Source organism: Homo sapiens, chromosome 3 (assembly GCF_000001405.40).
Source record: "Homo sapiens chromosome 3, GRCh38.p14 Primary Assembly".
NCBI classification, from domain to species: Eukaryota; Metazoa; Chordata; class Mammalia; order Primates; family Hominidae; genus Homo; species Homo sapiens.
In genome coordinates, this window is record NC_000003.12 from 12818568 (window position 1) to 12831198 (window position 12631).

The 12631-nt window shown below is 48.9% G+C and overlaps 1 protein-coding gene across 4 annotated transcripts in view, besides 1 other annotated feature; it reads left to right on the forward strand.

Annotated features, from left to right (window-relative positions):
- The window catches only part of CAND2 (cullin associated and neddylation dissociated 2 (putative)), a 38124-nt gene that overhangs the window by 21888 nt on the left and 3605 nt on the right, over positions 1-12631 (forward strand). For 2 of the 4 annotated variants that reach the window (NM_001162499.2, XM_011533504.3), the window contains exons 11-13: positions 1519-1614; positions 6903-7072; positions 8873-9037. In NM_001162499.2, coding sequence (NP_001155971.1) covers positions 1519-1614; positions 6903-7072; positions 8873-9037 — 431 coding nt within the window. Of the gene's footprint in view, positions 1-1518; positions 1615-6902; positions 7073-8872; positions 9038-9459; positions 11033-12631 lie in introns of those variants that run through there. The other 2 variants (XM_011533503.3, NM_012298.3) reach the window with 2 other exon arrangements.
- Positions 11556-12504: an enhancer, noted in NCBI's record as "H3K27ac-H3K4me1 hESC enhancer chr3:12871622-12872570 (GRCh37/hg19 assembly coordinates)". NCBI's record gives its function as "activates a minimal SCP1, AML or CMV promoter by ChIP-STARR-seq in naive and primed H9 embryonic stem cells {active_cell/tissue: H9 hESC(naive and primed)}" and the evidence as "EXISTENCE:reporter gene assay evidence [ECO:0000049][PMID:30033119]".

Genomic DNA, 12631 nt, shown 5'->3' on the forward strand with positions numbered 1-12631 from the left:
GGTAGGGTCATCAGGCTCCTAGGAAAATGAGAGTTCCCAGAATGAAAGGCCAGTGGGCTTCGAGCTGGCCAGCTGGCCCCTTACAGAACCAGTGGATGCTCTGCTTGACAGAATGCAGGTACAGTGTTTGGTAACCTATGTGGTACCTACAGTAATTAATACTGAGTAAATCAAGAGCTGCTGTTGTTACTAGGTAGGTTAGTGATTTCAGTTAAGGCCTTCTTGGGTTGCTGGGTTCGTAAGAAGCAGTTGTCTGGCCTCAGGACTGGATGGAAGAACATTGTTGAGGACACTGTCTATTACATCACACAACCTTGAGAGACGAGAGTGTTAAGATGCAGAGGAGCCCTGCTTTGCCTAAACACCTATTTGTTTCTATCTCACGTGCACTGTTGAACCAGCCACCCGGTCACATTTCCTTTTTAGCACCAACTGCTGGGAAGCTTAGAGCCAGATGAGTGGTCTGCTTCTAGTAGGTTCCTGGGACTTCCTTATTGATGCTCTCTGTACATCTTCCTGCTAGTCTCCTTCTCACCTCCCTGCCTTCAGTCGTCCTTGGCCTTGTTCTTGTTTTCAGTTCACTTAATCTTACTCTCTTGTGCCTGTCTTCATCAGCCACCCTAAATCTTCCTGGGAGCCAGTCAGGCTGGCAAGGGAAAGAGGTAAAAGCTGAAAGTCTGAATTCAGTAACTCTTCCATTCATTCATGCCTTAGCACCAAATGGTAAACTTTTCCTCGAGGCTGAACATAAAGCCTGTGGGGTGGAAACACCTTAGCCCATTCACTGCATTGTGCTGGGGTTGGGCAGGGAGCAAAGGGGGCGAGCCACTGAGGAGAGATTCAGACGCAGGTGGAGCGTCCACCCATTCGTTTCCTTCATTAAGGGAATGTACTTCCCCTCTTTACTGGGCTTCTCTACTCAGAAAGCAAGCGGCAAAGCACAAGTAAGCAAGCTCTCTGTGACCGAGCCTGGAGGTGATCCGAGTTCTGTTAGGCCTCCCTGACCACCAGCCAGAACGCAGCCCCAGGAAGAGGGGCCCAGCCAGGAATTCTGGATCTGCTGTGTGGCCCTAGACATGAACTTAAACCCTCTGAGTCTCTCTTTCCTCATATGTCAAAGAGATGATTTTTATTGGTGATTTTATTGGTTCTTTTAATACTACTTTATTATTAATAGGATCATTGTTAGGACTCATTGAGATAACATGTCTGAAAAATCCCAAGGCCTGAGGGAAGGTCTTTGTTGGAGCAGTTCCTGTCTTGGTTATTGGTTCCCTGTTTGCAGCCTGTGGTGTTACCTGAGCACTGGCAGTCCTACTGTTTCAGCTGCAGCAGGAAGAATTGAGGGGAGATTCAAGGCTGCCAAGGGAAATGGTAGAATCCACTTTCCCAGAGATGGGGAGGGGGTACAGTTCTGTTTTCCAGGGAAGCAGGGGGAGGAGCCTAAGCACCTTCTGATCTGTGAGCCTCCAGGATTGGCCCCTGCCCCTCACTAACTCACCTCTTCTTGTCCTGCAGGTCGGCCACACACCCGGAGCACCGTCATCACAGCGGTCAAGTTCCTTATCTCGGACCAGCCCCATCCCATTGACCCCCTCCTGAAGAGCTTCATCGGTGAGCACCTACCTCTTGCCCCTCCACCTTGTTCAGTGCCCCCACCCAGTCCTTGAGCTTGGGCTGATGTTTACTACCCAATAGCCAAGGGCAATGGGAGACCCGGGAGGTGTGCCCATGATGGGCAGCAGGGCCTGGCCCTCCAGTTAAAAGGCCTGGGTTCACATCCCTGCCTTCCTACTGCCACTCAATCATGGGTGGGTGTGGCATGCCCATCACACCTCTAAGCCTCGCTTTCCTCATCTGTCAAATGGGCGTGAGAAACTCTTATTATCTGCATTTTCTAGAGTTGTCCTGGAAGCCCATGGGCAACTGAGGGAGAAGATGCTTCATCAACATATAGACTCTTGGGAATGGAAAACCACCAGCCTCTCACATGCCTTAGCTTTTGCGGGCCCCAAAGTGGGGCAGGGAAGAGTGCTCCCCCCGGCCCCGCCTGTCCACTAGATCGCCCTCTGTCTGAGGGGCCTTCTGGCCTGAGGAGCCCAAGCAGCCTTCACTGGGAGGAGAGGAACTGAGACCTCCCTCTGGGGCTCGGCAGGACCACTGGGTTTTTCCTAGGAAGGCAGAGCCCTCGCCCCTTCAGAGCTTGGAGCCTGCAGCCCCTCACTGGGCCACACTGGAGTCTCAGCCCACATCTAGGCAGGGCAGCCCAGTAGAGAGAGGTTTTGGAGCTCACCTGCCTCAGGTTCAAATCCTGGCCCTGCTATTCCCTGGGTGTGTGAGTGTGGACAAGTCTTCTCATCCTCAGCTATAAAATGGGGGTGCTGGGCCAGGTGCGGTGGCTCTCGCCTGTAATCCCAGCACTTTGGGAGGCCAAGGCAGGTGGATCACCTGAGGTCAGGAGTTCAAGACCAGCCTGGCCAACACGGTGAAACCCTGTCTCTACTAAAAATACAAAAATGAGCCGGGTATGATGGCAGGCACCTGTAATCCCAGCTACTCTGGAGGCTGAGGCAGGAGAATCACTTGATCCCGGGAGGTGAAGGTTGCAGTGAGCGGAGATTGCACCACTGCACTCTAGCCTGGGCGACAGAGCAAGACTCCGTCTCAAAAAAAAAAAAAAAAATTAGTTGGGCATGGTGGTGGGCACCTGTAATCTCAGCTGTTTGAGAGACTGAGGCAAAAGAATTGCTTGAACCCGGGAGGCAGAGGTTGCAGTGAGCCAAGATCGTACCATTGCACTCTAATCTGGGCAACAAGAGCAAAACTCTGTCTCATAAATAAAAAAAAAGGAACGGTTGTGCTGATACTCATCTGCCAGGGGCCTGTTATGTGGGACCAAGGGGCCAGCAGACGTGACCGTGTTCTGCACTGGAGAACACGTGCAGAAGCTCTAGCAAGGTCATCGGCAGCAACTTTGTCCCTTGCCCTAATGCAGTGGGCACATGCCCCCCCTCCGGCCTGATTTCCTCCATTGTAACGGAGCTGCCCTTGGCTAGCACCACCAGCGACCTTCACATGGGGGTTCTGGCTTGCTTTAAAACATTTGAACTGGTTTTTGAGCTCTCACTGTGTATCAGGCACCACACTAGGCCCTTTAATATACCTCATCATAGTGGATGCTCACAAGCAAGGAGCTGTGAGCATCCTTGCTCTGCTGGGAGCCTTCCTGCCCTTCCCAGTGCATCACATCAGGGGCACATGGAGGTGGCTTGTCCCCTGGCTGGCGATGGTAACTTTGATCACCCAGTTCAGGTGGATACCGCCATGGTTTCTCTCCACTCTAAAATTACTCTTTTTTTCCTTTGGAATGAATATGAATTTTTGAGTACATAAAATAAGTATTTTATGTAAACATCCTTGTTCTCATCAATTTTTTTGCCCACTAGGTTTAGCATCCACGGTTGTTTCTTGCCTGGGTCAATGATTACTGTGATATTTGCCAAATGGTGACTTTCTAGTTCCATTATTCTTTCCATAGTTACAAGTTTGCATTCTACTGTCTGGAAGAACTTTTTCTTCTCTCCCACTTATTTATTCATCAATTTATTTGTCATTAGAGACTCATGGCTTCTTCCCACTTCATTCCGTGGGCTATACTGTTACTGTCTTTAATTTTGATGCATTGGAAGCCCTTCAAGCTGGTTCCTATTTTTTATTGACATGTTTCAATCTTTTTTTTTTTTTTTTGAGAGAGTCTCACTCTGTCACCCAGGCTGGAAGGCAATGGCACAGTCATACCTTACTGCAACCTGCCTCTCAGGCTCAAGCAATCCTCCCACTTGAGCCTCCCAAGTAGCTGGGATTACAGATGTGCGCCAGCCACCACACCTGGCTACTTTTTAAATTTTTTTTATAAAAACAGGGTTTTGCTATGTTACCCAGGCTGGTCTCGAACTCCTAGGCTTAAGTGATCCACTCACCTTAGCCTCCCAAAGTGCTGGGATTCCAGACGTGAGCCCCCGTGCCCAGCCTCCATCATTCTCTTAAGTGTATCCTTGCTTTTGGCACGATGAGATGCTCCAGATTCATTGCGAACCTCTCCTGCCCCAGTCCTGGAATCAGCCATTTCTCCAAGGAGTCCTGATTCCTTTTAGTGGAGAATGGTATTTTGAATCCAAAATCTGGACACTAGATGTGCCTGTTGCTGTTGGGGCCTCATTGCTTCTAGGCCCTCTCAGCAGACAGAACTAGGAAATGCATGTCTATACGCAGAGACACAAACACATACGTGTATACATGTGCTTCCAGATGCACACCCATGCACATCTTTCTTTGTCCCTCCTTCTTTCCCTCCCTGCCTCTCTTTCTCTCCCTCTCTCTTCTTTCTCTTCTACCTACCTACCCACCTATTTTGAAAACCTTGAGTTCATAGCTGCTTCGTATTGCAGTCTAGCCCCCTTTCCATATGTGTAACTCCTTTCTCTTACAGTAAGAAACCCAGCTCCCATTATCTACAAGATATTTATTTTCTTAATCCTGAAATACACAGAAAGTAGTCTGAGAATTGCTGACTCTTATCTCTGTGAAAACTAATACTCGTGTGTAGTTTTTTTGTGTTTCGCTAGAGGGCAGCTAGTCAAAATACTCGAAGTGGCTTGGTTTGTTCTCTCCTTCATAAGCTGGGTGGTTATGTGGATCATTTTAAATACAGTTTTTGTTGGTTTGTTTTTGCAGGGGGTGGGTATGGGTACGGTGGTTCACTCCTGTAATCCCAGCACTTTGGGAGGCTGAGGCGGGAGAATAACCTGAGGTCAGGAGTTCCAGACCAGCCTGGCAAAACCCCATCTCTACCAAAAAATATAAAAATTAGCCAGGTGTAGGCTGGGCGCGGTGGCTCACGCCTGTAATCCCAGCACTTTGGGAGGCCGAGGCGGGCGGATCACAAGGTCAGGAGATCGAGACCATCCTGGCTAACACAGTGAAACCCCGTCTCTACTAAAAATATAAAAAAATTAGCCGGGCATGCTGGCGGGCGCCTGTAGTCCCAGCTACTCAGGAGGCTTGAGGCAGGAGAATGGCGTGAACCCGGGAGGCAGAGCTTGCAGTGAGCCGAGATTGCGCCACTGCACTCCAGTCTGGGCGACAGAGCGAGACTCCATCTCAAAAAAAAAAACAACAAAAAAACGGGGTGTGGTGGCACACGCCTATAATCCCAGCTACCTGGGAGGCTGAGGCCTGAGAATCGCTTGAACCCGGGAGATGAAGGTTGCAGTGAGCTGAGATTGTGCCACTGTACTCCGTCCTGGGCGACAGAGCGAGACTGTCTTTTGACTCAAACAAAAAAATGATAAATACAGTTTTTTTGCATTTTGGTTTTATTTTTAGGGATTCCCCCATCCTTATTTCTTTATTAAGTATATAAAACATTAACAATTCTAAAATGTTTAAACTATAATGGCTGGGCGTAATGGCTCATGCCTGTAATCCCAACACTTTGGGAGGCTGAGGCAGAAGGATCACTTGAGTCCAGGAGTTTGAGACCAGCCTGGGTAACATAGTGAGACCCCCATCTCTAAAAAAATTTTTTTTTCCAAACCAACATGGCACATGTATACCTATGTAACAAACCTGCACGTTGTGCACATGTACCCTAGAACTTAAAGTATAATAAAAAAATTTTTTTTAAGTTTAAACTCTATATCATAGTCCTTTTCTGCTACTATAACAGAATACTACAGATTGGGTAATTTATAAAGAAGAGAAATTCATTCCTCACAGTTGTGGAGACTGGGAGGTCCAAGAACATGGCACCAGCATCTGGTGAGGGCCATCCCATGGTGGAAGGAAGGGCAGAAGTGAGCATGGGAGACAGAGAGACGAGAGGCGGGGCTTAACAGGAGCTCCCTCCCATGATCACTGACCCACTCCTGTAGTGACGGCATTAATCCATGCGTCAGGGCTTCACCCTCGTGACCTAATCACCTCTCAATACTATTACCATGGCAATTAAGTTTCAACATGAGTTTTGGTGGGGACATTCAAATCATAGCACTGTACAAGTCTGGGCACAGTGGCTCATGCCTGTAATCTCGGCACTGTGGGTGGCCGAGGTGGTGGATTACTTGAGGTCAGGAGTTCGAGACCAGCCTGGCCAACATGGTGAAACCCCGTCTCTACTAAAAATACAAAAATTAGCCAGGCATGGTGGTTCGTGCCTGTAATCCCAGGTACTTGGGAGGCTGAGGCAGGAGAATCGCTTGAACCTGAGAGGTGGAGGTTGCAGTGTGCCGAGATCACACCACTGCACTCCAGCCTGGGCAACAGAGTGAGACTCTGTCTCAACAACAAAACAAAACAAAAACAAATCATGGCACTGTACAAAAAGGAGTATCCTGAGAAGTGCTGGTGACTCTGTGTAAGTTTCTTGACCTCTCTGATCTTTAAGAGCCTCACCTGTAATAACAAGTTCACATTCACAGAGTCCGTGCTGTGTGCCAGGCACTCTGCTCTGTGCTTTTAATGCATTACCACATTCAAAAAATTTTTTTCTTTTTTTTTTTTTCAAGATAATGCTGAGGCACCACATTTTAAATTCTAAAGACAGTCCCATAGCATAGGTTCTGTTACGACTCCCATTTTACAGATGAGGACATTGAGGCTCTCCAAGGTCCCACAGTAAATTGGTAGAGCTGGAATGGAAGCCACATCAGCTCAAGCCCACATTCTTATCTGGCCTTTGAAGGGTTGTTTGTGCCTGGCACAAAGTAGATGCTCACCACACCCAGCTTACCCCCATTCAGCCAGTTCTGCACGTGCACAGTAACCAGATGGCCGGGGTGGTGAGGGAGGTGACTTTGTGCTTTGGCTGTGCATCCCCCACGCCCCTCATGTTCTTCTGCCAGGAGAGTTCATGGAGAGCCTGCAGGACCCAGACCTGAACGTGCGCCGTGCGACTCTGGCTTTCTTCAACTCAGCTGTGCACAACAAGCCCTCGCTAGTCCGGGACCTGCTGGATGACATCCTGCCCCTCCTCTACCAGGAGACAAAGATCCGGCGGGACCTCATCCGAGAGGTGTGGAGCAGAGCTGGGGACCCAGGGGAAGCTGGGGGTGATGCCACCTCTCATGCCTCACTGTTAGGGCATTATTATCTCATCAGAGCAGGTGCCGGGGCCACATGGCCTGGGTCAAGTCCTGCCCTGACTCCGAGCTGTGGGACCCCAGCCAGGGCAACCTGATCCTCTCTGAGCCTCAGTTTCTCCTCGTGAGCACATGAGGGTGCTAATTGTGTCTGCGTCATAGGGTTGCTGCAACAATTTGGTGAGTGAGGTCCTGTAAGTGTTCAGAACCACCGCAGGCACACAGCCAGCGCTCAGTAAATGTTGATGTTTGACAGGTGTTCACTGAACATCTGCACTGCGCCCAAGTGCCAGGACTCAGAGTTGGGCCTGACTGGGTTTCTGCCACCAAGGAGTTCATCGTGGCCCCCTAAAGGACAGAGATGCCAACTCTGCTGATTACAGACAGCCCCCGCCTTACAATGGTTCAACTTTACAATGGTGCAAAAGCAGTAGCGTTCAGCAGGCTCCTCACCTTATGATGGGATTGCTTCTGGAAGCCAACTTACAATGGACCTATTGTGATGTAATCCCATCATACACCAAGGAGCAGCTGCGTTTCACTTAGAGCCCACCTGGTAAAGGAAGGATTCGGGGGCAGAGGTTAAAGGTGATTTAGTAAGTTTGAGCTGTGGAATACTAGCAGCATTGAGGCCCTTTAAGCTGGGCTTTGAAGGGTGAAAAGGTGTTTACCATTAAAACAGGGCTTCATGGTTGAAAGCTTCAGAAAGACCTGGGTGTCTTTTTTGTTGTTTTTTTTTGAGACAGGATCTTGCTGTGTCACCTAGGCTGGAGTGCAGTGGCACAATCACAGCTCACTGCAGCCTCGACCTCCTGGGCTCAAGCGATCCTCCCACCTCAGCCTCCTGAGTAGCTGGGACTACAGGCGTGTACCACCACACCTAGCTAATATTTTGTATTTTTTTGTAGAGATGCGGTTTTGCCATGTTGCCCAGACGTCTCAAATTCCTCCTGCCTCGGCCTCTCAAAGTGCTGGGAGGACAGCCATCATGCCCAACCTACCTGGGTTTTAAATTCCAGTTCAGCCACTTACAAGCAGTGTATCCTTAACCTGTCCAGCTCAGTTAATTAACCTGCCCAACTCAGTTTCCTCATCTGTCATTAAATGGGATCAGTAACATTTACTTTTTTTTTTTTTTTTTTGAGATGGAGTCTCGCTCTGTCACCCAGGCTGGAGTGCAGTGGCGCGATCTCAGCTCACTGCAACCTCCACCTCCCTGGTTCAAGCAATTCTCCTGCCTCAGCCACCCAAGTAGCTGGGACTACAGGCACGTGCCACCATGCCCGGCTAATTTTTTTGTATTTTTAGTAGAGGTGAAGTTTCGCCATGTTAGCCAGGATGGCCTCAATCTCCTGACTTCATGATCCGCCCGCCTTGGCCTCCCAAAGTGCTGGGATTATAGGCGTGAACCACTGTGCCTGGCCAGTAACATTTACTTCTGATGGCATTTGTGATGCTTGAATGAAACGTCATCAGTCAAGCAGTCAGCACAGTGCCTGCCACTCAGACAGTGCCTGCTCAGTAGATTATAAGAATAATTGTTCTTATTGCCACTGTTATCACTTGGGGGAAATGACACTGCAGGCTGAGCAAAGGCATGGAGACTTGAGAGTATAAGGCACGATTTGGGGCTGGCATGGATTGTGGAATAGAGATGTGGGGTTTGTAGCAGAAGCTAGAAGAGGTGTCCTTACACCCTGGGGCCATATCACCAACCTTCATCCCTCCTGCAGGTGGAGATGGGGCCCTTTAAACATACAGTGGACGATGGGCTGGACGTGCGGAAGGCGGCCTTTGAATGCATGTATTCACTGCTTGAGAGCTGCCTGGGCCAGCTGGATATCTGTGAGTTCCTGAACCATGTGGAGGACGGGCTGAAGGACCACTACGACATCCGGGTAAGACCAAGCCCCCTGCCAGATCTATGTGCCCCTGTACCAAGGGATAGTCGGGCACCATTGGGGCCATGCTTGTTTGTCCTTGCTCCCTACTCCAGGCACCCAATGAAAATAGCTGCATTGTTGTTTTCTGATAAGAAAAGGAACCTGTGTCTCAAACACCTTTGGTGGGAGTCTACACTGGGCAGGCTCTTTGGAGGATGGTTTCACAGCAACCAGAAAAAAAAAATTGTCCAGGTGTGGTGGCTTATGCCTGTAATCCCAGCACTTTGGGAGGCTGAGGCAGGAGGATGGCTTGAGCCCAGGAGGTTGAGGCTGCAGTGAAACATGATCACACCACTGCACTCCAACCTGGACGACAAAGCGAGACCCTGTCTCAAAAAAAAAAAAAAAATTCCCAGACGAAATTTTTGACCCTGCAGGGCACTTTCAGCTGTGGAATACTAGCAGCATTGAGGAGCGAGCTGCATCTCTTCGTGTTGTGACCTGAAAGAGCTCCAAGCCCCAATGTTGAGTGGCAAGAGCTAGTTCCAGAAGTTAGGACCATTTTCTTAACAGACAGAGTGAGTCTGGGGCTGGTGGAGACGTCGGTTTCTTCAATTTATATCTTTCTATATCATTTTTTTAAATGTTAAAGTTTATTCACATATATGATAGAAATCATTTAATTGTGGCGAAATATTAATAATACAAGTTACTATCTTCAGTAACTTACTATCTGCAGGTGAAGTGTTTTTTTTTTTTTTTTTTTGAGACAGGGTCTTGCACTGTCACTCAGGCTGGAGTGCAGTGGCTTGATCTCAGCTGACTGCAACCTCTGCCTCCCAGGTTCAAGCGATTCTCCTGCCTCAGCCTCCCAAGTAGCTGGGACTACAGGTGCCCACCACCACACTCAGCTAAATTTTTTTTGTATTTTTAGTAGAGACGGGGTTTCACCATATTGGCCAGGCTGGTCTCGAACTCCTGACCTCAAGTAATCTGCCTGCCCTGGCCTCCCAAAGTGCTGGGATTACAGGTGTGAGCCACTGCGCCAGGCTCCATCTTCACTATTTTAAAGTGCACAGCACAGTGGCAGTAAGCACATTCACATTGCGGTGCAGCCGTCACCACTGTCCATCTCAGAACTCTTTTCTCCTTCCCAAACTGAAAACTGCACCCATTCAACACTCTATGAATTTGACTACTCTAGGTTTCTGCCCTTGTAAGTGGAATCATACAGTATTTGTCCTTTTGTGACCAACTTGTTTCACTTAGTCTGATGTCCTCAAGGTTCATCCATGTTGCAGCATGTCAGAATTTCCCAGTGTTGTATGTACAGACCACCAGTTTGTTTACCCATTCATCCATCGCTGGACAAATATTTGGGTGTTCCCAGCTTCTGGCTATTATGAGTAATGCGACTGTGAACCTAGGTGTTCCGATATCCTTTGGAATCCTGCCTTCAGTTCTCTTCACTTTACCCAGAAGTGAAATTGCTGGATCATACGGCAATTCTGTGTTTAATGTCTTAAGGAACTGCTATACTACAACTTTATTTTTAAGTTTTTATTTATTTGTTTGAGATGGAGTCTCACTTTATGGCCCAGGCTGGAGTGCATTGGTGCAATCTTGGCTCACTGCAACCTCCGCCTCCCGGGTTCAAGTGATTCTCCTGCCTCGGCCTCTTGAGTAGCTGGGATTACAGATGTGCACCACCACGCTCGGCTAATTTTTATATGTTTTAGTAGAGACAGGGTTTCGCCATGTTGGCTAGGCTGGTCTTGAACTCCTGACCTCAGGTGACCCACCCACCTCGGCCTCCCAAAGTGTTGGGATTACAGGCATGAGCCACCACGCCCGGCCCCATATTACAACTTTAAAAAATATGTACTGTAAGCGTGAGTCACTTTTTATAAGGAAAAATTAATACAAAGTAATCAAAAGTAACCCATACTTGTTTTAAAAGATTTACACAAGATGAAAGCAAATAAAGAAGCAAGTAATAATCACCCAAAAGCTTCTCCACACCCAGAGAGGCCTGCTGTCTCAGTGTGTTTCTTGGGATGATGCACATAGACCCTCATTCATTAGTCAGCCAGTATTAAGTGAGTGCCAACACGCCAAGGTCAATGTGAGAGGTGGGGTCCCTGTTCTCAAAGCTGTGGAGATGAGTTTATGAGACCTGTTTTCTAGAAATGGGATCACACACATGCTGTTTTTTTCCCCAGCCTTTTAACTTACATTTACTGTATGTTGTTTGCTTTGCTTTTCAATATATATCAGTCCTGTCAACAGCTGCAGGAGTTCCCATTTCTGTTGCACTCACTGCTACACATGTATGTTATTTGCACATTTTCACAATTACAGACAATGCTGCTGTGAACACCCTGGTGCATTACTGTGACCCACGGTGTGATCGGTGGGCTTCTAGGGTGGAGTGCATGTTCCTGCTAAAGCATCCGATGCGCGTGGTGAGGCTGCACCTCCTGCAGCGGGCGTGCCTCTGACCACTCCAGACTTGGAGTTCCTGGGACGCTCCTTCCTGCACTTCCTGTCTGCCTGTCTCCCCCTCGGCTTTATTATTGCTTTAAACTCTTGCTTCCTGCCAACCCCCAAGAAAGAGAAAAGAAGAAACAACATAAGTTCTCTGGGATTCCAGCCCCAAGATCTTGGTTGAGAAAGGGGGTTGGGTTTTCCAGTGTATGCCATGCAAACTAGTGGAAAATGATGGGGCGCACAAAGCTGAACAGGACTTTCCACCACAGGGTTCCGGGAGGCTCCAGACGGGAGGGGTGTACTCAGCTTCCATCATCTGGGTGTGCCTGGTATTAGGCATCTTGTGGGGCTACTGACCCCAGGACACAGAGTGAGGAGTTCTGGGCCAGCCCAAAGCTCCACCTTGTGGGGATTTTTCTCCAGGATCGAGCAAGTCTGTTTCTTCCATCCAGTCTGGCCATATCCTCTCATGCCTGCCCTCCAGGAGCGCAGGACAGGGCCTAGGCACCAGTGCAGCCTTGGAGTCCACTCTGCTGCCACCCCCTGGGGTGAGGAGGGTGGGTGTTACAGCTATAGAGCCCACAGCTTTGCGTCATCAAGTCTTCAAGTGAGCCTTTAGAGAGGGAGTGAACACCGCCCAGTTCACAGGGGAGACGGAATCTTGTCTAGTTCTAGGGCACAGGGTCATGGAGTAGCCAAGAGTCATAGCTCCTGAAGTCCAGCACCGCTGCTCCTTGCTGCCGTGGGCTGGGCCTCCTCCTTTGCTGTGGGGCTTAGGGGTCAGGGTGTGGAGATGGGTAGGGCGTGGGGATTTCAGACAACCAGTCTTTATGGTGTGCAAGGCTTCTTTGTGAGGACTTGACTATTTTCAAAAGACAGGACAATTATTCCCCTACAGGCTGAATCTAGGCCTGCAGCCATGTTTAGTTGTTGTTAAAAGTTTTTGTTTGGTTTTGAAATCAGGTGTCAACATTTAAAAATCGAGACTTTTTTTTTACATGAAAATTGGGATTTCTTTTGAAAACAATCCAGTGGCCCCAAGCTACATGTTTGCACTCCCACCTGGCCACACTCAGCCAGAGCTGCCCCAGCAGCCCCCTTCACTCATCCCCAGCATCT